Below are 21,501 nucleotides of genomic sequence, written 5' to 3'. Positions count from 1 at the left end.
TTCTAACTTGGACTGTCTCTCCAATTGTTCCCCTTCATCTCTGCTGCTCACTGCCCTGGACCTCTGTAAAGACTCTGAGCTGCCCTCCTGCCGGCAGCCCCTCCCCAGGCCAGCCCACCCTTCCTGTGATTGCATTACTTCCCCCCCTCCACCCTACCCCCAACAAAAGCTCCAGCGGTTCCCGATGCCTGCTCAGTGGGCATTAAAGCCCTGGCCTACCCTTCCCATCTCCAACTGCCTATTCCCAACAACACCCTCCATCCATTTTCTAGCCAGCCAATCATTCCATTCTCTGAGTGTTTCACTATTTATGCCCCCAAGTCTTTTGCCAAAAGGCTGCCATGCTTTTGCCAGTGACTGGACTACCACCCTGGGTACCTTTGGTCATTGGCCCAAGTGAAGGCAAAGGGCTGCTGAGGGACCGCAGCTTTCCCCAGTTGCACATGGAAAAGGTGCAACTGTCATGATGTAGATGACACTCTCTCCTTCTCCCTCTCTCTCTCTGAGGCCCTTCTTTCTGGAGTTCCATAGCCACTGGCCTGGCCCAAGTTTGGGGTAGGGGTAGGGTATCTGAAGCCACTGCAGTAGCAAGTACCCTGTGTTAGCCTCTAGTTCCCCGCTCTTGGGTGTCATTTCTTCCCGGGTCCATGAGTAGCCTTCCAAAGGGAATCTGCTGGAGAACTTATTGGAGGATGGCATCAGGCTCCAACTCTAGGGACCACAACCCATATGCTTGTTCTCTAATTGCTTTCAGAGTTCCGGAGAGACCCTGTGAGTTCCTGGGTATCCCCCATGTATATGATGGGGAATTCATTCTGCTGGTTTGATCTCTTTTCCTTTGGGCAACATCTTTAAAAAAAGTCTTCCTTGGAGACTTCAAACCTGGATCTTTAACAAGTCCTTGATGAAATGCTTGGAAATGCTCGTGTTTTTACCCTGGACTTGACAGCAGCCTCTACAGACTCCTTTCTCCATATTCTGCTTGGCTTGTCAGAGGCCAGAGGGATCCAAAAGAATTCCTCAGGGGAGGAAGCCCTAAGCCTACATCTTATTCTTTTTAGTTTTTTTTTTTTTCTTTTAAGAGACGGTGTCTTGATTCTGGAAGTTGCTCTCAGAGGCAGCGTGCGGGTGTGCTCTTTGTGAAATTCCACCATGGCATACCATGGCCAGGGCCAGAAAGTGCAGAAGGTGAAGATGCGCCCATCAACCTCATCTTCAGATACTTACAAAATAGATCGCAGATTCAGGTGTGGCTCTATGAGCAAGTGAATATGCGGACAGAAGGCTGTATCATTGGTTTTAATGAGTATACGAACCTTGTTATTAGATGATGCGGAAGAGATTCATTCTAAAACAAAGTCAAGAAAACAACTGGGTCGGATCATGCTAAAAGGAGGTATTCCTCTGCTACAAAGTGTCTCCAGCTAGAAATGATCAATGAAGTGAGAAATTGTTGAGAAGGATACAGTTTGTTTTTAGCTGTCCTTTGTCCAATATGAACATTTATTCATATTGTTTTGATTACCCTTATGTTATTACAAGATGGCAATAAATGCTATGGGATTGTTTGTCTTACAACAAAAAAAGAGATGCTGTCTTGCTCTGTTGCCCAGGCTGGAGTGCAGTGGCACGAACATGGCTCACTGTGGCCTCCTGGGCTCATGCGATCCTCCCACCTCAACCTCTTGAGTAGCTGGGACTATAGGCACACATCACCACACCCAGCTAATTTTTTTTTTTAACAGATGGGATCTTGCTATGTTGCCCAGGCTGGTCTCAAACTCCTGGCTTCAAGAATCCCACTGCCTCAGCCTCCCAAAGTGCTGGGATTACAGGTGTGAGCCACCACGCTTGGCTTCTTTTTAGCTTTGACAACATCTACTTCAACTCACCTGATTGCTTAGGCTGGGTTTTGGTTACAGCTAAGGCACAACTTCTTGTCCTTAACAACCTTTGTCAAGACACATGCTTGCTGGTGGAATCATGTACAGTCTCCACTTCACAAAGTCCTCTTCCAGGCATTGTCCAGGGAGGTATCCTTCGTGAGCACACACATGCTTCAAATCACAAACATGAAAATGATCTTCCTTTTAATGCCTGCTTTAAACAGCAGCCACTGGAGGTGGAGAATCCAGAGGTCTGGCCTGTGTAATACACTTCGATAGAAACCATGCCCTTGTGTACAGGCCTACGGGCCTTGTTATTATAGTTAACTTTTATGGTGGGTTTTAGGGGCTGAAAAAATTCTACTAATATTATTGGAAATACATTTTATAGCTTTGGCTATGAAATACCACACACACACACACACACACACACACACACACACACACACACACACACCAGCAATAATTGAGGAAGTAATTGAAAACAAATAACACTTGAGTATATGTGCAAATTCTACACAGGTGACTGCAAACCACAAAGATACTAATGAGAAATGGCAGACAGGTTCTTGGCAGGTAGGATCTCACAGGACGTGTGCAAGGCCTGTCACAGTAGATATGATAACTGAGGGAGAGCAAATTCTCAGTCATTGTAATAAAACCAAATCCCAGAAGAACTTCTTTTACATCCCAGAGTGGAGGACAACTATTTTAGGATGTTGCTGCTTGGACACACCTGTTCTATCAGAAGGGGCTGAGTATGTGATACTGAGTTTTCTTTTTTCCTTCTGTATCTTTTTCCCCTTTGTATCTGTGGTACACAGTACAGCACATTATTCAACATATGTTCATTAAATGGCCACCGAAACATCTTTCACACGGGTTAACAAATGGCCAGGCCTCACGTACAAGGTCTATTTGTCTGTTTTTTTTTTTTGAGATAGGGTCTCACTCTGTCACCGGGGTTGGAGTGCAGTGGCACGATCTTGGCTCACTGCAGCCTTGACCTCCCAGGGCTCAAGTAATCCTCCTACCTCAGTCCCCACCGGGTAGCTGGGACTACATGCACGCACCACCATGCCCTGCTAATTTTTTTTTTCCTGTATTGTAGAGACGAGGTCTCACTATGTTGCCCAGGCTGGTCTCGAACTCCTGGGCTCAAGCAATCTGCCCGCCTCAACCTCCCAAAATGTTGGGATTACAGACATGAGCCACTGCGTCCGGCCACGTACAAGGTCTCTTTAAATGATGAATTGGAAACATCAGTATTTCTTCTTTTGCTTAAATTCCAGTCCCCTGCCAACGTACACTGCCATACCAAGATTAAATAGAGAAGGGCACCCAGAAGCATCTGGTTCGCTGTAAGCACTTGACAGCTATCAGCTATGATCATCATTTCTTCTTGCTGATGTTACTGTAACATTGTGGATGAAGCAGTGTTTGCCTTAATCAATGGGGGCGAGTTTGGAAGGCCTGCCCTCCAGGGATGTCTTAGTTCCAGGTGCTGCAATTTGCAGTCCTGGAAATGGAGAAAGGAGATAAGCCTGCAGTTTAGTGCCAACTGTGAAAGGTCAGTTGTGGGGGAGGCTGCTGGGGGCCTCTTGGGAGTTCTCAGAGGCCCTCCCCTCACATATGCACAGTATCTGGTGTCCCAGCCACCAAGTTCTGGAGACCTCCAGAATGATCGGAAGCTTCTGCAGGGTCCAGCCAGTGCTCAGGAACACTCACGGCCCTCCTTTTTCCTTTCCTCATTCAACATCCCCGCATTTCAAGGCTCTCTACCAGCATTTCTTTGTTCATTGTTCAGAAAAAAATGAATCAAGCCATGACTAGAGGCTTGAATTCAACTTTAAAAAATTGTATGGCTCAAAGGGTCTCTATCCAAGTTTTTCCCAAAAGATTATTCTCCAAGGAAAAAAGAAAACAAAATGGCTAAATCGCAACATTTTTTCAGTCTCCATTATCCCACGGCTCTCTTTACCCCTTGAGACACACAATCTTCAATAGTAAACAGGGCTGAAGTTTGAGGGCAAGGCCTAGAGAAGCTGTTTAATTTCTACCCCAAAGACAAACTCAGATTCTTTCACAATTTTCCCTCAGGCCAGCCCTCTGCTTTATAGGGCCAAACCACTGAAAGAACAAATGAATGCGAACAATTTGCCTCCCAGCAGCGAGCACTAAGATTTCCTACAGATACGAATTCCCAAGCAAACCCTGCCCAAAGATAATACAAATGAAGGTTGGGTTTATCGGGCTTTTTAAAGGGTGGCTGCCTGATCTTCTTTAGGATCTGAATATGTTTACACGGGGATTGGCGGGGCGCTTACTGACAGAGCAGTTTTAGAAAACAAACACAGGCCCCAGAACACTCATCAGTCTGCAGCGGCTCGGCCGCTCATTCCACAAATACTCACTGTGCATCCACCATGCGCAGCCACTGTGTGTGGTGCTGTGGGGGACAGAATGACAATGTGTCTTGGGAGGTGGCCTCAGCTATAGGTAGGGAGGACAGGGCTTCTGTCCCAAATGGTAAATGTCATAGAGTGGGGGTGTCACCGAGTGTGGGGGTATTACAGAGTTAGGCCAAGAGGTGGGATCTGAGGTAGACCTCGAAGAGTACAGATGGCAATTTCCACAGGGCAAGGCTCTATTCTAGAACCAACGTATTCATGTTAATAAATAAGCAAGGGTTTTGAACTGAAAGGACCTACGACACTGTTTTCCTAAAGACGCCTTCGGAGGCGGGCATGGCTACAATTTGTCTTAAGTCTCAGGGGTCAGTGATGGTCACCCACTGGGGAAGGAAGGGCATGCAGACAGCCCCCCCAACCCCAATATCTGCAGGGTTTGGGACAAGAACATAGATGCAAGCCCATACGCTTACACATGTAAAAGTTATAACTCAAGCTGACAAACTGTTAAATACATTCTCTCCTCCTCCCTTGACAAATATGAATGCTACGAAAAGGCCAGGCTCGAATTTAGAATTCCCAGACTCCTGGGTTCTGTACCAGAATGCGGTGGTGGTAAGAGAGCCTGATCTGGCACCCCCACCATTCCCAGTTCCATCTTGTCCTATGAGGTCTTGGGACCACACATGGAAACATCCCAGACATCTCAGCACCCCCATCAAAGCTCAGCCCCAGGCAAACGCGAGCCCCCTATCTCAACCTATAGGTGTGCACACCAGTGGCTTGGTGCACGTCCAGGGAAGAGTCAGGCAGGCTCTCAAGCCTCAGGATCCCATTCTTTGGATCCTCAGCTCCGTGGATTCCTGGCCTGGTCAGGAAGGAAGTGGTCAGGGTGGTCAGAGCAGGGCCCTCCAAAGTAGGGTCCAATGCAGGCCCCCCCTGCTCAGGTCTAAGGGTACAGTGTGCACAGGCAAGGATTTGGCTCACTGGACTGTGAGGCACACTGTGTCGTGTGGTTTTGATTATGATGATACAGGCTAACCTTTATCCCAGATAATGAATACAACATTAGTCTGGTTTCCACTTAATCCTCATCAGCCCTACTGAGTTTAGTATTGTTGTTATTCCCATTTCACATATGAGGAAACTAAGATTAGAGAGATTTTAATTTATCCAAGGCCACACAGCTAGGGGTTGTGGAGCCAGGATTTGACTGTTATACTGAGTCTCATGGCCTAAAAATACTCAGAGGAAAATCATTTCCTGATCCCGAATCATGGAAAATCAAGAGCCGGAAGGAACCATGACATTCATAATGTGGAACCCTCACTACGTGGCGGGAGGGGGCAGGTAGCAGAGGAGAAATCCAGGGTCCTGATTCCGGGGCAGTCCCCACGTGGGCAGCAGTGTGTCCCACAGAGTTCAGGAGGGCAGCAGCACCTGGTGGGTATGCTGTGCAGTGGGCGTGGGCTCCCCAGGGGATGCAAGGGGAAGCCAGTCAGGGTCAGGCAGGGCCAGAGCAGCCCCGTGGGCATGTGTGGCCAGCAGCTGGCACCACAGCCCTCTGTGAGCTGAGAAGGTGACCTCACTCCAAGGGGGGCCCTTGGAGCTATTTTCTAAAGCTGCTGCCTTTGATGCTTTCTTCAAATCCCATGAGCAAAGTGGCAAACTTGGGTGGGGAAGCCCCAGAATCTGGCTGCTGTGCAACTTCATTCTGTTTCCAAACAGCGGTGTGGGAGCTCAGCGCCCACTCCAGTGGGCAGTCCGAGGATGCCCTGGAGCTAAGCCGGGGAACCTGTTCTTCCTCCCTGCAGCTGTGCTGGACAGCCAAGGCCTTGGTAGGTCAGGAAGGAGGGATTTTTCTTTTTTTAAATTAATTTAAAATATTTAAAACTAAGGTGTAATATGTATACATAAGCAAGTACACAAATCTCGTGTGCGGCTCAATGAATCTTTAAGACAGGATTTTGTTCTGTTGCCCAGGCTGGGGTGCAATGGCTCAATCAGAGCTCACTGTAGCCTCGAACTCCTGGGCTCAAGCAATCTTCCTGATTCAGCCTCTCGAGTAGCTGAGACCACAGGCATGTGCCACTACAGCCAGCTAATTCTTAAAACTTTTGTAGAGATGGGGGTCTCACTACGTTGCCCAGGCTCTAGTGAATTTTTAATATGTAATTTTTTTTTTTTAAGACAGAGTCTCACTCTGTCACCCAGGCTGGAGTGCAATGGTGCGATCTCAGCTCAGTGCAAACTCTGCTTCCCAGGTTCAAGTGATTCTCCTGCCTCAGCTTCCCGAGTGGCTGGGATTACAGATGCCCGCCACCACACCCGGCTAATTTTTGTATTTTTATTAGAGATGGTTTCGCCATGTTGGCCAGGCTGGTCTCGAACTCCTGACACCTCAGGTGATCCACCCACCTCGGCCTCCCAAATTACAGGCATGAGCCACCAAACCTGGCCCAATATGTAAATATCAATGTAACCACCAGCCTAGATCAAGATGTAGAATGTTTTAAATTGATTATAAGTTGCAGAAGCAATGCATGAACACACTCTCCTTGTAAAGCATTAAAACATGAGCTGTGAGCCGACCCCTCCCAGTGTCCCGCCTACACACACAAGGCCCCACTGTTATATGTAATTGATTGTGTGTCCGGAAGCAGGGGCTTCCCCCTAGGCATTCCCAGGCCTCTAGGCAGCTGAGCAGCCTGACCCAACAGGTTTAGGGTCTTTCTCCTTGAACATTCTCTTCTGCCCATTCCCTTCCCCCACCCAAATCCTCCAACAGAGAAAGAGCCTGTGGATTTGGATAACACAACTGCCTCGCTGAGCTTCCTCCCTCCCCATCCTTACAACTGAAAGCGGTCTGACTCGGACGCTTCTAAGCTGTGGCTGCAGAGAACACAAAGAGCAGCCTTCGGCGCGCGGACGCACCATCGATGTACTGGGTTGGGGCGGGGGGGACGCCAACCGGCCCCAAAGCACATCGAAGCCAGAAACTGCCCGAACTAGTTACATTCCAGCAAGATTAGCACAAGGCCGGGCCTGCTCCTGCGCCCACCCCTCCTCCCCTCCTGAGCCATGAATAGGATTTTTAACTATTTCCCTCCCACTTGCTGTCCAGCCTCACACATGGACAATGCTCCCCGCTGTTTGCACATTAACCTCCCATTTGCCAGGCAGCTTCTCAGGGGCTGCAGATTAACATCCACCAACTCAGACAATCATCCCCGGGGAGGGGTGCAAGGGGCTCAGACAAAAGCTACAGACACTGAGCCCAGTCAATCACCGCACAGTGACCACTGGCCAACAGTGCAAGGGACTCCTGGACTCCAGACACACAGGAATCACCACAGGCGGCTCATTCCTGGCTCTGGGCACCTGCCCCACGTGGGACCAGAGAGGATACTCCCCTAATGCAGGCCTACAGCAACCAGAAGACATCCTCCCCACCCCATCTAATCTGGGACATTCTGGCCTAGGAGGGGCCCGAAAGGATCAGGGACTGAAGGGCTGGGAAGGCAGAGGGCAGCCTTAGGCAGGCCTCGCAGACCCAGCCCACCCTGTTTAGGCTTCTCCTTTCTCCCGGCAAAGCGGAGCTCTCAGGGGACAGAACAGGAAGCAGGTGCCTCAGGCCCCTGCCCTGGGGCTCCCTGGGAAAGCTGCCTGGTCTCTCAGCAAGAAGGGCCCCTGACTGAAGCAGCTTGTAGACATGATTCCATACATCAAAGCCATTTTCCTATTCCCTTGTGTGCAGGTGTGCACACAGGCATGAACTTGGAAACACAACAGCATGTAGGGGGGAGGGAATGGGGAGACAGCTGGACTGTGAGGTATGGGAATGGTCCTTCTATGTCCTAGGCCAGCAGCTCAGCCCCTGCATTTGTATTAAAAATCTCCTCCAGGTGATGCTCATGCACCCTGGTCCTGAACCAGAGGCCCTGGAAGTGAACAATCGCATGCATTAGCTGAGGATCCTGTTAAGATGCAGTCTGGGTCAAGAGGTGTGTCGTGGGGCCCAGGATGGTAAGTTTCTAACCAGCTCAAGACACACTCTTGAGGCCATCTCAGTGAGGCCTCAGACTGGGCGCATCATCAGAAGGGCGATCTCTCTGTATGCTGCTTCACCAAGTAGTTGTCTGGCTACAGTTTCCACCCTTCTCGAGAAAGGTCACCACCTCTCAAGACAGCCAGTTGCAGCTGCGGACAGCTCTGTTTGAGTCCTTCCTCATATTAAGACATCCAACAGTGACAATCTGAAGTCTTTCTTCTCTTGACCTGGTAGTTCCAGACCCTCAGAAGACCTTGTGGCTTCCACTCGTGTTTTCCCCACATACCTGTGCCTCCTCATCTAGGCCAGTGAGGCTGTTTTTCTGAGCTTCATTCTCTTCTTAGTACTAATGCCAGACAGGGTGGGGGCAGGGGAGCAGATCTCAGTGCAGATTGGCGAGGCTATTTGGGTAGGAGTGAGAATAGAGCCCCCAACGGAAACAGAAACCAGAGTTCTAGCCTGGAGCAGTTAACATACAAGAAACTTAAGGACAATTAAAAAGCAACAACCACAATTAACGTGGTTTACACAGGCAAAACTCATTAATGTGGATCGGGGTGCTGGAGTTTACCTTTGCTAGGCAAACCCTTTTTACAGACAGTACAGATTAATTGCAAGCAAGACTCCAAGGGGAATATCTAAATGGCTATGAAACAACCTTCAAGCCCCCCCAATGCAGGAAAAAGCACCACTGACCTACAAGGGACACACAGAGGACTTCGTCCAGGGAGCCCCCTTGCCAGTCTGGCTTCAATTCCTGGTGAAGTTCAGAAGCAATAAACCTGTGCTCCTTTTGAAAGGTTTTATAATTCAGAAGACCCCCTAATTCACACTAACATCCACCCCAAGTCTGAATTAATTGTGTTACCCAGCAGTTCTGCTAAGGAATCACTTCATCATCACTGCTGCAGGGAAAATTTGAGCGGGGCCGATGGTTTGCAGTGGCAGCAAGTCTACAAATGATTATCCCTAATGAGATGATGCGAGAGCAGCCTCAAATAAGGCACTCCTCCAGCTGCCCCGTGCCCAGCTGGGCTTCCTGCCCTCCCACCCGCTCCAGGCCATGAGCCCTTCATGGGGCTCTCATGGCAAGAGGGGCCTGGATCTTCCAAAGGTGAAACCATCCCAAAGACCCAAGGGCTCCCACTCAGTCTCCTGCTGCCACTCCCTGCCCCACTGCAAGGTCACACATGACAGTGGGGTCTGGCTGAGCTAGGACTGAATCCTGACTGTACCCCTTACCAGTTGTTACCTTGATCTAAAGTTAATCTTTCTGAGCCTCAGCTCCCACATGTTGAAAAGGTATTAGTATAATCCAGTTCCTAAGATTGTGTGGTGGTTTAACTGAGTGAACGCTTAGCATGCACAGGGCCTGGAGTAGGTAAACTCTTACGATGGTAGTAAAAAGGAGGAAGATTTCTTTTAAGGACAGGGAGATGGCCCCTCTTTCTTTGAGGCTCCAAAGCTCACTGTTCTTCTGTTGTGACACTAACCTTTCCCTGCCTTGAGATCAGTTCCACTACTTGTGTTGTTGCTCTGGTGGACCAGGAAACAGACAGTTCCTATATAAGGTCATGGCCCCACTCATCTTTTACTTACCTACTGCAACGTTCAACCCAATCCTTGCAATTAGTAGGAACCTGATCAATATTTCTGCATTGACTTGCCAGCATGAACCAGCCTACTCAGGACAAAGCATGGAGGTCGTAACCAAATGGGTCAAACAGCCAACAGACCAGACCTCCCCGCCCCCGCCCCTGTGAGCAGGTTTCTGACCTTACGAACAACAGCAGTTGCGTTTAGGTAAAACGACAATCACACTTCTGACTGGCTGTCAAACTATTCATGAAAATGGCCACCAACTTCCTATTTTTTAAATCAAACACTAAGCCATATGTCTGCTACACAATGAAAAATCCCAAACCTATGTGGTTTAATAGGCTTTCCAACATTTCTTCAGAAGCCTAGATCTCTAACGTTTACATTTAAGGTGACACTGGCTCACGGTCTGTTGTTCCATAGTCTTATTGCACTGTTTACACATCCTACCTCATTTTTACAGAAATGGGTCATTAGGCCAGGGACCACCTTCTTCCATGTCATGACATGCTTTGGTTGGGAGTGGCGAAGGTCTAATTTTAGGCCGTCTGAGAAAGGGCCTAAAATTTCCTAAAGTAAAGCAATAGAGATCAAGTTTTTAGGTTTTCTGAGGTTTTAAAACCAGAAAGCCATTCTGTTTCCTTGAGCTGCCATCCATTCAACCCTAGAAGTTGCAGCCTGCCGTTCTGGGCTCAGAGAAGGGAGGACTAATGCTCAGAACAGTTTCCCTGGGGAGCTGGATACTAGGTGCTGAGGTTGGGCTCCCTGGCAGGCACAGGCCTCGGGGAGCTTGTGGTAGGGGCTGCTTGGAAACCACACACTTACTCTACTCTGATGACACTGTTTGTGTGCAAGCATTTCTAGACTGTTCTTTGGAAATGGGCTGTAGAAAACATTCATTCCTTCAAAACACACCGCTCTTTTGTGGTCTTTTATTTCCCCCTTCTTGGCTTTGCTACTCTCCTGGGAGTCAGAGGCTCCCCAAACTCCCAGGGAAGGGATCTCTTTTGGAGAGGCCATGCAGAGGGGTCACACCGAGGCTTGGGTCACACCGAGGCTTGGGTCAGGGTAGTAGAGTGATAGCAAATGCTCATGTGGAATTGTCTGCCTGAACGGGTGGCTATAAATTATCACAGGGTATAACTGCCCGAGACCACGTAGGTGAATTATCTACAAGTCCTGCGAATGCTCAGGACTACAGCTGCCATGAATATGGCTTCAAAATAAGTTTCCTTAGATGAAAACAACTGAGAGGCCAGAGGCATCAGCTAGCCTGTGGGGAGGATGTGGGAGGACCACCCATAGCCTCAGTTTCCCTGGGTGCACCACTCACTTCCCTCAGAGTCCTTTCTGTGATACCTGCCTCCCCCAGCCCTCTTGTCACTGTACCACCCAATGCACACACAGCAGCAGAGAAGCATCTGGAGTGTGAGTGTGTGTGTTTTGAGAGAGGATCTTACTCTGTTACCCAGGCTGGAGTGCAGTGGCGCAATCACAGCTCACTGAAGTCTCGACCTCCTGGGTTCAAGTGATCCTCCCACCTCAGCCTCCCAAGTGGCTAGGATTACAGGTACGTGCCACCACGCCTGGCTAATTTTTTGTATCGTTTGTAGTGATGGGGTTTTGCTGTGTTACCCAGGCTGGTCTCAGACTCCTGAGACTCAAATGATCTGCCTGCTTCCGCCTCCCAAAATACTGGGATTACAGGCGTGAGCCACTGCACCTAGCCTAGAGTGTCTCTGAATTGCAATCGGAATTTGAATGGGAAACTGTCAGCTAGTTTAAGGGGCAAGCAGTAGGTAGCTTCTTGTCACATTTTCTCAATCAGATGCCAGTCACAGGGAACTATCAAAAAGCGGCGATTTACAAGAGTGACCTGAATAGATGCTCTGGTCTGGTCTCTCTCCTTCAGCTCTTATATCCAGCTGGTCCCTTCTGTCCTGAAGAGGTAAACAGCCTCAAGCGGGGCCCAGAGACTTGGGTTCTAACTCGACCCCAATTAGCAGTGTGATGACTTTAGGCAGGTCCTTTCCCCTTGCTGATCACAGCTGCTAGAAAAAGCCTTTATGGAAACAAACATGTATTAGACCCCTACTGTTTACACTATATACTGTACACAATAAAGGCAAAGGCTTTTTATTTCTTCCTCACAAGCTTCTCTTTGTGTGCATAGAAATGAGTGCTGATTATCATTTAGACATAATAATATCCGGATATGGGTCATTAAGCAGGGCAGTGACCTACCCACTTGGTCCACTGACCTATTCTTGGTTATTGCAAAACATTATTCAGACAGCAAGATAAATTGGTTAATTTTTCTTTCCACTCCTAAATTGTTAAATTAGTTACAGCAAAAAACAAAACCCAAGTAAACAAACCACACAAACCTCCTAAATACAAAGTAGGGCCCTGATCCTGCCATCTGTTTAACTCCTAAATATAGGCTGGTTTATCTCTCTCCCACCTTCTGGTGGCCTCAGGCCATGTTCTCAGGCCTCTAACTCTTAGCTGCTATTTAGAATCCAGCTGTTAATTACTTATTTAACACCTTTTTGCTGCTCAGTCTGAACACTAAGCATTCTCCGAGACTACAGTTTCTCCTTTGCCTTTCTTTAGTGGCTCTGAAAGGTCTCTCAAAGGTTATCTGTCCTCAAGATGTGCCTAATTCTGTGCATTCAGGGCTTTCTTTGCAGGGGACGGCACAACTTGGGAGCTTTTAACATACACGAAACACAAAATAGTGTAATACAAAGCTAGCCAGGCTTATTAAAAATCTCATTTTTCGGCTGGGCATGGTGGATCACGCCTGTAATCCTACCACTTTGGGAGGCTGAGGTGGGTGATCATTTGAGGCCAGGAGTTCGAGACCAGCCTGGCCAACATGGCGAAACCCTGTCTCTACTAAAAATACAAAAATCAGCCAGGCGTGGTGGCCGGCGCCTGTAATCCCAGCTACTCAGGAGGCTGAGGCACGAGAATCGCTTGAACCCGGGAGGTGGAGGTTGCAGTGAGCCGAGATAGCACCACTGCACTCCAGCCTGGGCGACAGAGCGAGACTCTGTCTCAAAAAAAAAAAATTCTCACTTTTGAGCTAGTCTATGTTTAATATTTAATATATTACCGAGTGCTTTTTTAAAAGGCCCAGTTACCAATTCCTGTGTGTGGCAAGGTGAGAAGGCCAGGGGTGATGGGTGCCTTATGGCTTTGGTCTATTGCAGATGCCTTCCAGTAGTGGACCAGAGCAGCTGGCACTGGTGTACTGGCATCTCCTTCAAACTCAGTGTTCAGTGATGTCACGTTGGTAGCTTGAAATCAGCCACAGGGAGAGTATTTACATCATGGAAATTGGCAAACACTAATCAGAGCACAATCCTCCCCACCAGGAGCTGACTGTTAAATATTTACCAGTACATCACTGCTTATAACCCATTTCCCCACTTCTCTTTCTATCATTAATTTAAAGGACTCATTTATTGGGCACACAGTCCACTGCATTAGACACAAATGCTACAGAAAAACAACAATAACAAATGTTACCTTTCTCTGTCCCTATGTCTTTGTCTATGTCTTTACACTGCAAACTCACTTAATCCTCAGAACAACATAGTGGGATAAAGAAATAATGTTATCACCTTTTCACAGATGAGGAAACTGAGGCACAGAATGGCAAAACCTTGCTCATGGCTGCAACTGATGATGCTTCCAGACCCAGAACTGAGGGCTTTTCCCCACCCCACAGAGCCCATGGGTTTTCTACTCTCCCAGGAAAAGGCCTGGATGGAGGCCCAGTGTGCAAAAACTCAGGGATATGTTCCACCAGAACTAAGACTCAAGAGCAAATGAGTTTTATGGAGGCTTTGTACCAGGAAGGGTTCTTAAGGGAGACAGTTGTGCAGGCTGTGAGGAAGGTTCCGCAGACCCCCAGAAAAGCAGGTGAGTGGCAACTGGGGTCACCTTGAGAAGAGGGGTTTTGGAGTACAACAGGCCCCTTGGCCTGGTACACTTTATCAAGGCAGAAAAATGCCTTCCACTTCTGGAGGGAAAAAAAGGAAAGAGGCACAGGATGCAATTAGGAAAGAACAAACATATCCTCAGATTCTCACAGCTGAACAACTAGGGAAAACCCAGCCTGTAAACAATCAAAAACTGGTGTCGCCAGAGCAAATACCCAGGACTCTGCTCACCCATGCAAGGGTAACTGCACGAGAATCGGGGCCCACACCAGCACAGGCCAGCGAGGGACCACTTTTTCCTTAGCAGTAGCGGCAGTGGCAGCAGCTGGTTCTCCTGCTGGGTTCCCAGATGGAAATTCCAAAGGGAACTACTTTCTGCATTCAGCACACAGAGAAAAACTGCAACTAGTGAAAAGCAAAAACTAAAATTTCAAATGCTACTTTGTAGAATGCAAACAGTCATAGTCTGCCAACAGACATTAGGCTAGGTATTTCCTTATGATACTTACAAGAGACGGAAAACCAAGTTCACTCCCCCTTTCCCTACTTCCTCCTGTTTTTTTTTTCCCTCCCCAAGGGAATGAGTCAAGTCAGTCAACAAGTATTTATGGAGCACCCACAGGATTGCAGAGTCTGGGAGGAGGCACGGGTTGCTGGAAGAAGCCCAGGATAGCTCTCATTTGAGACAGTTAAAGGAAATGTCAATCCTCAGGCCAGGTCTAAACAGGGCAGTGAAGAACTGACTGCCACCTGGGTGGGTTTATTCTGGACCAATCACTCACTCCTGGCTGAGCTGCCTCTGTTATTGGCAAGGTTATCCACCAAAGTGGGTGGATCAGCTATGTTCATGTACATTTTTGGAAAACTACAAGCACAACGCTAGCAATCTTGATGGTTTAGGGGGTGGGAGTTGGTGGTTGGCTGAGATACTCTTCTTCCTCCCTCCCAAAAGGCCCCACAACGATAAAAATTAAACAAATGTTGTCAGGTGTTCACCATTTCTCCTCTGCAAATGTAAGTGTGTATAAGTGGGACGGGAAGGCTAGCAAAACCCAGGGCCCATGGAAACAGCCTCCTGGGGGCCTGTCCGCTCTAGTTTGGAGACTGGGTTGTATTTATTTGGCTGCAGATCCTGCTACTCCAAGTGTGTTCCCTGGACCAGTACCATCAGCACTATGTGGAATTGTGTTAGAAATGCAGAGTTCCAGGCCCCACGACAGCCCTACTGAAGTAGAATCTGCGTTTACACAATCTCTTCAGACGGTTCCCATGCATGGGTGAGTTGAAGAAACGCCAGTCCCAAAAACCAAGCAAGTGTTTGTTATTAAACCCCAGAGAGCCCCCAAAGTCACATTTGGGGAACATGTGCCTTTCATATTGCAGGGGGGCAGTTAGCTCCCTAGATTTCCTGTTCACAGAAAGCAAATACCAGTAAAGCCTAAAGATTTATAAATCTATTATAACTCCTGGTTTAAAAGTAGGTACCTGGAAGGACCCAGGTCAGTTGCACATTATTCAATCACCATAGGAAGATATATTCTTGGAGCTAACAGAACCGAACACTACCGGCCACAAGGAGTCTTTTCACATCTACATTACACTCAACTAACTGCATGCTGGCCTAGATTCGCTTCTGTTTTAAATATCCAAGCTATGTTTGAATAACCTGTATGGTTACAATTAGGATCACTGCATCTGGGAAAGTCACCGCAAACCCCCACACATAAATACGGTGATTTTAATAACAAATAACACATTTGGAGGCTGGTATATAAGTATGCAGGCAGAGGAAGCCACTGAAGATGTTAATTTGCATGTTCACAAAGAAATGGAATCCAGCTGCAACGTTAATGCTTAATTCTACAGAGCCATAGGACACCCGCGCAACCTTACCATGGGCATGCTCTAAATTTAAAGCCGATTTTCAAACCCTCACAATTTTGGCAAAAACCTCAATTCAACTGCTTAAGGAGACTGGATTTTCTGTGAATCCTAAAATAGTGCTAGCAGAAAAAAGTCCATTTGTTTAAGTTTTGCAAGTTAAAGACAAGTATCTGAATTGATTTGATGCAAAGGTTCTCAAAACATTCACCTTGGGGCAGGAAAAACAAAAGGTCTCATTGGAAGAGATTCCTTCTTATAAGGGATTGGAATTTACGGACTAGGGTCTAACTTAGCTGTTGCTTTCTGGCCTCCTACACTTGTATTTACTGTTTAAAGTAAAATGTGAAAATTATATCAGTCTTTAAGAAGATAAACCTTCTGAAATAGGATGCATATGAGTGAATGTGTTTGTATAAGAGGGAGAGGTTAATAATAGCGGTCATGGTGATATTAATAACAATAAAAGGTAGTGTGCTAATTTGGATATTGTATCCTGGTAAGCTGTGTTCACTTCACCAGTTTCTCTAAGAAAATGGATTCTGTTGAACTGCTCACTAGCATGGTGTACTTGCTCAAGCACCTGCAAAAAGACAGAGGGGGCTTCTTGTAGGGATGCAAACCCAGTGGGGCAAACAAACAGAGCCTGGTAACAGCACAATCAATCAACTGTTTCAGTTATGAAGGAAAGAGCTGCTAAAACCTCCCACTCCAGTGGAATGTACCTCACTGAAAGCTCTTGGCACTCACTCTTTACAGAGAATGGTGGGTAGCCAGGACCTATGGTGACATCAGGCACAGAGCAATTCTCCTGTCCTACAAGTGGACAAGAGGGAAGGAGGGTGGTGGTCAAAACCATCATGGGGGTACATGTATCAGATAATGACTAGACTGCATGATTTCATGAGATAAGAAAAAAATATCTTGAGAGAAATGCTTGAGAGTCCTTAGGATTGCAATTCTGCTGAGCACTTGGCTCATCTGTTATTAATAAATGCTGGTGGCAATATCCATGAGTACACTTGTCAGAGGGGCTGCTTCCTCCCCCACCGAGCAACGGCCAGATGGAGAAGTCAGGAGACCTGCGTGGAGAGCCTCGCCTTGCCAGGGGCAAATCCATCACCTCAATAAGCCTCAACTCACTGTCTATTAAATAGGAGTGATTATACCAGCTGCACTTAATTCTTAGAACTATTTTGAGGATGAAATGAGATAATGGATGTGAGTCGTTAAGTATGTCAATCTGGGAATATGTGGGTGGAGCTGTGTGGGAGGTGAGCTCCCTTCTGCTCTGTCATGAAAGGCATGTGACACTCTTCATAGTACTTCCCTCTCCCAGGCCCCCAAATAAGCTTGCCTGTCAATTTTGACACATTTAGAATTCATTAAGTAATTAAATCCATTTTGATCTAATTGAGTTTTCCTTTGAGGGCAGTTTAAGATTCCACTAAGCCTGTGAAGCTTATGAGTAATTGCAAGTGGAAACTACACCCAACTGTGTTGAGATGTCCATCCTCGATTTTTTCCCAATGCATGATTTCACTTGCCGGGATGGCACTGTTACATCTGGAGATCAGAACCAAGCCAACCACCACCACTAGCAGAAGCAATAAATAACACCATTGCATTGAGTCAGCACTGTGGACAGTCCTGTCCTAAACCACATTCATGGGGGACACCTGACTGCCATTCACTTGGAGATCTTTCTGGGCAAAGGAGAGCTGGTCAGTCACCGGGTGACCAAAACCGGCACTGCACTGCCCAAGAAGGACATGGCCATCCTTTAACTGTTTCCATCTGACAAACTGCTGTTGGTCTATGGGCAACTGTTGGTCTGTTTTTTTTTTTTTTTAATTAATTAATTTTTTTTTGAGATGGAGTCTCGCTCTGTTGCCCAGGCCGGAATGCAGTGGTGCGATCTCGGCTCACTGCCAGCTCCTCCTCCCAGGTTCATGCCATTCTCCTGCCTCAGCCTCCCGAGTAGCTGGGACTACAAGCGCCCACCACCATGCCCAGCTCATTTTTTGTATTTTTTTTAGTAGAGACGGGGTTTCACCGTGTTAGCCAGGATGGTCTCGATCTCCTGACCTCGTGATCTGCCCGCCTCGGCCTCCCAAAGTGCTGGGATTACAGATGTGAGCCACCGTGCCTGGCCCGGTCTGTTTTAAAGAGGCCCCTGGCTCTGACCTTGTAGCTCAAAGATGAGCCACATGGTTCCAGGTCCCCATCTGGGACTTCTGGTTGCACTGTGCCAGTGGGAAGCCTTGTCAGCCAACCTACCCCATCTTAGAGGGAAGAGGGACTGGTGACTGATGCCCAGTGAAGAGGCTTGCCTTCGGCCCTCCATCCAAGAAGGGAACCCCCTATGGCCCACTATCCTAAGCAAGTGCTGAGCCATAGTCAGCTTCACCCCATTCTCTATGGGAGCCTGACACCAAACCATTGATTACACCAATCTTCTCAGATAAGGCAGTCCAGCTTAGGTTCCAAGTCTGGAGACTTTTTCCTGAGTCTCCTAGGGGGCCAGACGTGCCTGGGATTTTGAAGAGCCTCCTCTCCCTGGTATCTGTCTTGATACCAGATTCTATTCTGGAATCTGTCCTGCTAGCGGGCAGAGTGCCAAGTCTATATTTTGAGGACAGCAAAGACCTGCATTTGCTAAACCTAATGGTTGTTTCTCAGCCCTCATCTCACTCGACCTTCAGCAGCAGCCCCTCTTCCTTCGTACACTCCCCTCCTTGGCTGCAGGAATGCGGCGCCCACCAGGTCTCCTCCTACCTCTCTGGCTGCTCCTTCTCAGTCTCCTTTGCCAGTTCTTGCTCTTCTCTCCAGTGTGCAAAAGCTGTAGTGCCCACGGCTCAGCCCTTGACCTCTTTTTTTCTCAGCTTCAGTCTCAGGGATCTCCTCCAGTCTCATGGCTTGAAGTACCATCAACATGCTGATGACTAAAGTCTCTGTCTCTAACCTAGACCTCATCCCTGACTTCTAGACCCAATTACCCCACCTATCACTCTCCCCACTGGATGTCCAAAAAGTATCTCCAATACAACATGTCCCAAACAGAGCTCCTAATTATTTCCTCCCAAACCTGCCCCTCCCACAGTCTTCTCCATTTCTGTCAATGACACTTTCTTCTTTCCCACTGCCCAGGAGACATTCCTAACTCTTCTTCCTCTTGCTCCCCACATTTGTTCCATCAGCAAATCCTGTCACTCCTCCTTCAAAATGGGTCCAGAATCTGAGAACTTTCCCCATTTCTACTGCCACCATCCAGGCCCCACTGGCCCAACAACTTGTCTCTGATTTTCTACCCTTGACCCCTTCGGTCTATGATTATATCATGGCAGCCATGGCGCTACGTTAAAACAAAGGTTGGATCACGTCACCTTTCTGCTCAAGACCCCTCTCTACTCCCCATCTCAGTCAAAAGGCTTCATCATGGGCTGCATGCCCCTGTGACCAGCCCCCTGTCCCCTTTCTGACTGTGCCTCCTTCAGTGCTGCCCCCCAGCCTTGCCCACTCTGCTCCAGCCACTCTGTTCTGCCCGCTCCTGGAACCTACCAAGCGCCATCCCCTTTGCACCTGCTGTTCCCTCTGCCTGGCGTGCTCTTCCCCCGTGTATGTGTCTATAGAGTTTGTCACCTCCCTGTGAGGCCTTCAATAAATATTGAATAAATGAATGAACAAGCAAACTGAAGGCTTTACCCTGAACCCTCCCTGGCAGGCCGGGATCCCACAGTTTGCCTGTTCGTTCTTTCCCTGTGGCTGGATCCTGAACTCCGCCCACCACATCTCCCACCCCCAGGGGGTGCTGTTCACAATGTGGTCCGTGGCTAGCAGGGCAGCTCCCAACGTCAACTCTGCAGGGAGCCGTGTGAAGTCACAATATGAATACCCGGCCCTTTCTAAGGTGCCTGGCACGTAGTGGATGGCTCAGCGTATATCTCCTGAACGAAGTTTCACCTCTCACCCTGAGCCAGAATCCTGCCCACTCAGAACCCAAGACCCATGCCTGGGGCTGCCTCTGGCCAGGAAGCTCTCTCTCCTCAGCCCATCCCCAGCCTTCTCCTCCTGGCCCAGCTCCCCCTTCCCTTGCTGAGTTTCTAGCACCTCTTATGCTGTTCACACCCAGACAATTCCGAAAACACTGGATCCCCTGTGAATGGTGTGGAAATGCAACTTCCCCACGTGGAGTCGCTGGGCATGTTCCCCTTCCCTTCCCCTCGAACCCTGCACAGAGGGGGCCATTATGTCACACAAGGCCACTTCACGAGTAAGGGACAAAACAGCCCTTTTGAAACTCAAAACAAAGCTTAAGAGCCGCACCTGAGTTACTAAAGCTTCCACTCAGCCTCACCCATTCCTAGCAATAAGCTGCAGCAGCCGGATCTGCTCCCACCTCTGGGTGACGGCTGGGAACACCAGGCTGTTACCTTTCATCAAAAACACAAAGGGACAGCAAGGGACCTCAGGCATGTAATGGCGCCGAGGAGTAGCCATAACATGTTATTACAGAATTAGTTCTTTCGAAACTGCGTGCCAACTGATTATTAATAAACTGCAAAAATGAGTTAAGGGCGGAATAATTGGGGCTGAATGCCTACCAATCCTGCACATGTTAACCAAGACATATGAGGTTCAACTAGAAGCCAATTGAACAGTTACTTATTGTTAACTACTATGTGCCAAGATGTCGGTGCGTCGAGATCTTTAAGACTTGCTGGAGGCCCCACTGCCAGAGGTGTGTAATCTAAATGGGGAAAGGAAAGGAAAACATGCCCTTTCATTCAATAGTTTTTAAAACAGTACAGTGTACTAGGAAAGGCTGAGGTAAAACATCTGCTTCAATAGGGAGGCAGAGAAAAGGGGATATAGAGGCCCTGGGGAGATTTCTTGAAGGAGACAGAAAACTGGAGATCTGCAAAGAGAAGAAACAGGAGGAAGCAACACATCCCGTGTGGAAGGGGAGAAAGTGGGTGCTGTGAGCAGGAGTGACAAAGTCTTCAGGAAGACTGAGCCTGGGGACAAGGCTGGCCTCAACATTTGCCTTCTATACAGGGTGTGCACAAACCTCAATGCCAAGCCCCATTCAAGGAAAAGGAGGAAGGCTGCAGATGGACCTCACTGACTCTCCCTACAGCAGAAGCGGGCACAGCCGGGTGCAGCGTCTAGGTCAGGAGAGGTGGTGTTTGCATTCATGCTGTCATAACGGCTGTGGTCAGGCTTGGATGAGGACGTCAAGCTGACAAAACCTCAAGGTGATGGAGGACCATTCCTTCCATTATTTGAGCCATCCCAGAAAGAAGGGAGGTAATTCTTAAGCGCGACATGTTCACAAATGGAAAAGTGTGGATTTGGCCTGGATGTTGGCATTTTACTTGGGCCGGGGCTTTATGTGACGTGGGTTCTATGTTGGCAGCCCAGAGGCAGCCAAGTGACCCAGGGAAGCCAGCAACCATAGGGTTTCCAGCCTCATGGTATCAATGGAAGAATTATGAGATCACAAATGTCAGAGCCCCTGGGGCCTTGTAGGTAAATGCTTGGTTTGATTTTAAGTGATCCAGATAATAGAAGAAGTTCTCACTGGCTTCTTTAAGATGGTCCCTTAGACTTACAGATGTTTTTAGGTTCTCATGATTCAAAAATCTATTCTTGCCCCCCCGCACCACCGCCCCCCTCCGCCCAAAAAAAAAGCAAGCAAGCAAAGAGAAACCTGAAAG

At 48.2% G+C, this 21,501-nt stretch overlaps 1 protein-coding gene and 1 pseudogene across 2 annotated transcripts in view, besides 7 other annotated features; one reads left to right on the top strand and one right to left on the bottom strand.

The window, feature by feature from the left end:
* TCF7L1 (transcription factor 7 like 1) overlaps positions 1-21,501 on the bottom strand; it is a 176,996-nt gene that overhangs the window by 46,921 nt on the left and 108,574 nt on the right. The gene's annotated exons all lie outside the window — the stretch shown is intronic.
* Positions 2-929: an enhancer, noted in NCBI's record as "H3K4me1 hESC enhancer chr2:85489661-85490588 (GRCh37/hg19 assembly coordinates)". NCBI's record gives its function as "activates a minimal SCP1, AML or CMV promoter by ChIP-STARR-seq in primed H9 embryonic stem cells {active_cell/tissue: H9 hESC(primed)}" and the evidence as "EXISTENCE:reporter gene assay evidence [ECO:0000049][PMID:30033119]".
* On the top strand, positions 1,153-1,553 carry SNRPEP11 (SNRPE pseudogene 11; annotated as a pseudogene).
* Positions 2,913-3,634: an enhancer, noted in NCBI's record as "H3K27ac-H3K4me1 hESC enhancer chr2:85486956-85487677 (GRCh37/hg19 assembly coordinates)". NCBI's record gives its function as "activates a minimal SCP1, AML or CMV promoter by ChIP-STARR-seq in primed H9 embryonic stem cells {active_cell/tissue: H9 hESC(primed)}" and the evidence as "EXISTENCE:reporter gene assay evidence [ECO:0000049][PMID:30033119]".
* Positions 3,635-4,357: an enhancer, noted in NCBI's record as "NANOG-H3K27ac-H3K4me1 hESC enhancer chr2:85486233-85486955 (GRCh37/hg19 assembly coordinates)". NCBI's record gives its function as "activates a minimal SCP1, AML or CMV promoter by ChIP-STARR-seq in primed H9 embryonic stem cells {active_cell/tissue: H9 hESC(primed)}" and the evidence as "EXISTENCE:reporter gene assay evidence [ECO:0000049][PMID:30033119]".
* Positions 3,635-4,361: a biological region, named in NCBI's record as "Sharpr-MPRA regulatory region 427".
* Positions 4,067-4,361: a silencer, noted in NCBI's record as "tiled region #427; K562 Repressive non-DNase unmatched - State 20:ReprD". NCBI's record gives its function as "represses a minimal TATA promoter and a strong SV40 promoter by Sharpr-MPRA in K562 cells {active_cell/tissue: K562}" and the evidence as "EXISTENCE:reporter gene assay evidence [ECO:0000049][PMID:27701403]".
* Positions 6,526-7,249: an enhancer, noted in NCBI's record as "OCT4-NANOG-H3K27ac-H3K4me1 hESC enhancer chr2:85483341-85484064 (GRCh37/hg19 assembly coordinates)". NCBI's record gives its function as "activates a minimal SCP1, AML or CMV promoter by ChIP-STARR-seq in naive and primed H9 embryonic stem cells {active_cell/tissue: H9 hESC(naive and primed)}" and the evidence as "EXISTENCE:reporter gene assay evidence [ECO:0000049][PMID:30033119]".
* Positions 7,250-7,972: an enhancer, noted in NCBI's record as "OCT4-NANOG-H3K27ac-H3K4me1 hESC enhancer chr2:85482618-85483340 (GRCh37/hg19 assembly coordinates)". NCBI's record gives its function as "activates a minimal SCP1, AML or CMV promoter by ChIP-STARR-seq in naive and primed H9 embryonic stem cells {active_cell/tissue: H9 hESC(naive and primed)}" and the evidence as "EXISTENCE:reporter gene assay evidence [ECO:0000049][PMID:30033119]".

Source organism: Homo sapiens, chromosome 2, assembly GCF_000001405.40.
Source record: "Homo sapiens chromosome 2, GRCh38.p14 Primary Assembly".
Classification (NCBI taxonomy): Eukaryota; Metazoa; Chordata; class Mammalia; order Primates; family Hominidae; genus Homo; species Homo sapiens.
This window is presented reverse-complemented; position numbering and strand designations above follow the sequence as displayed.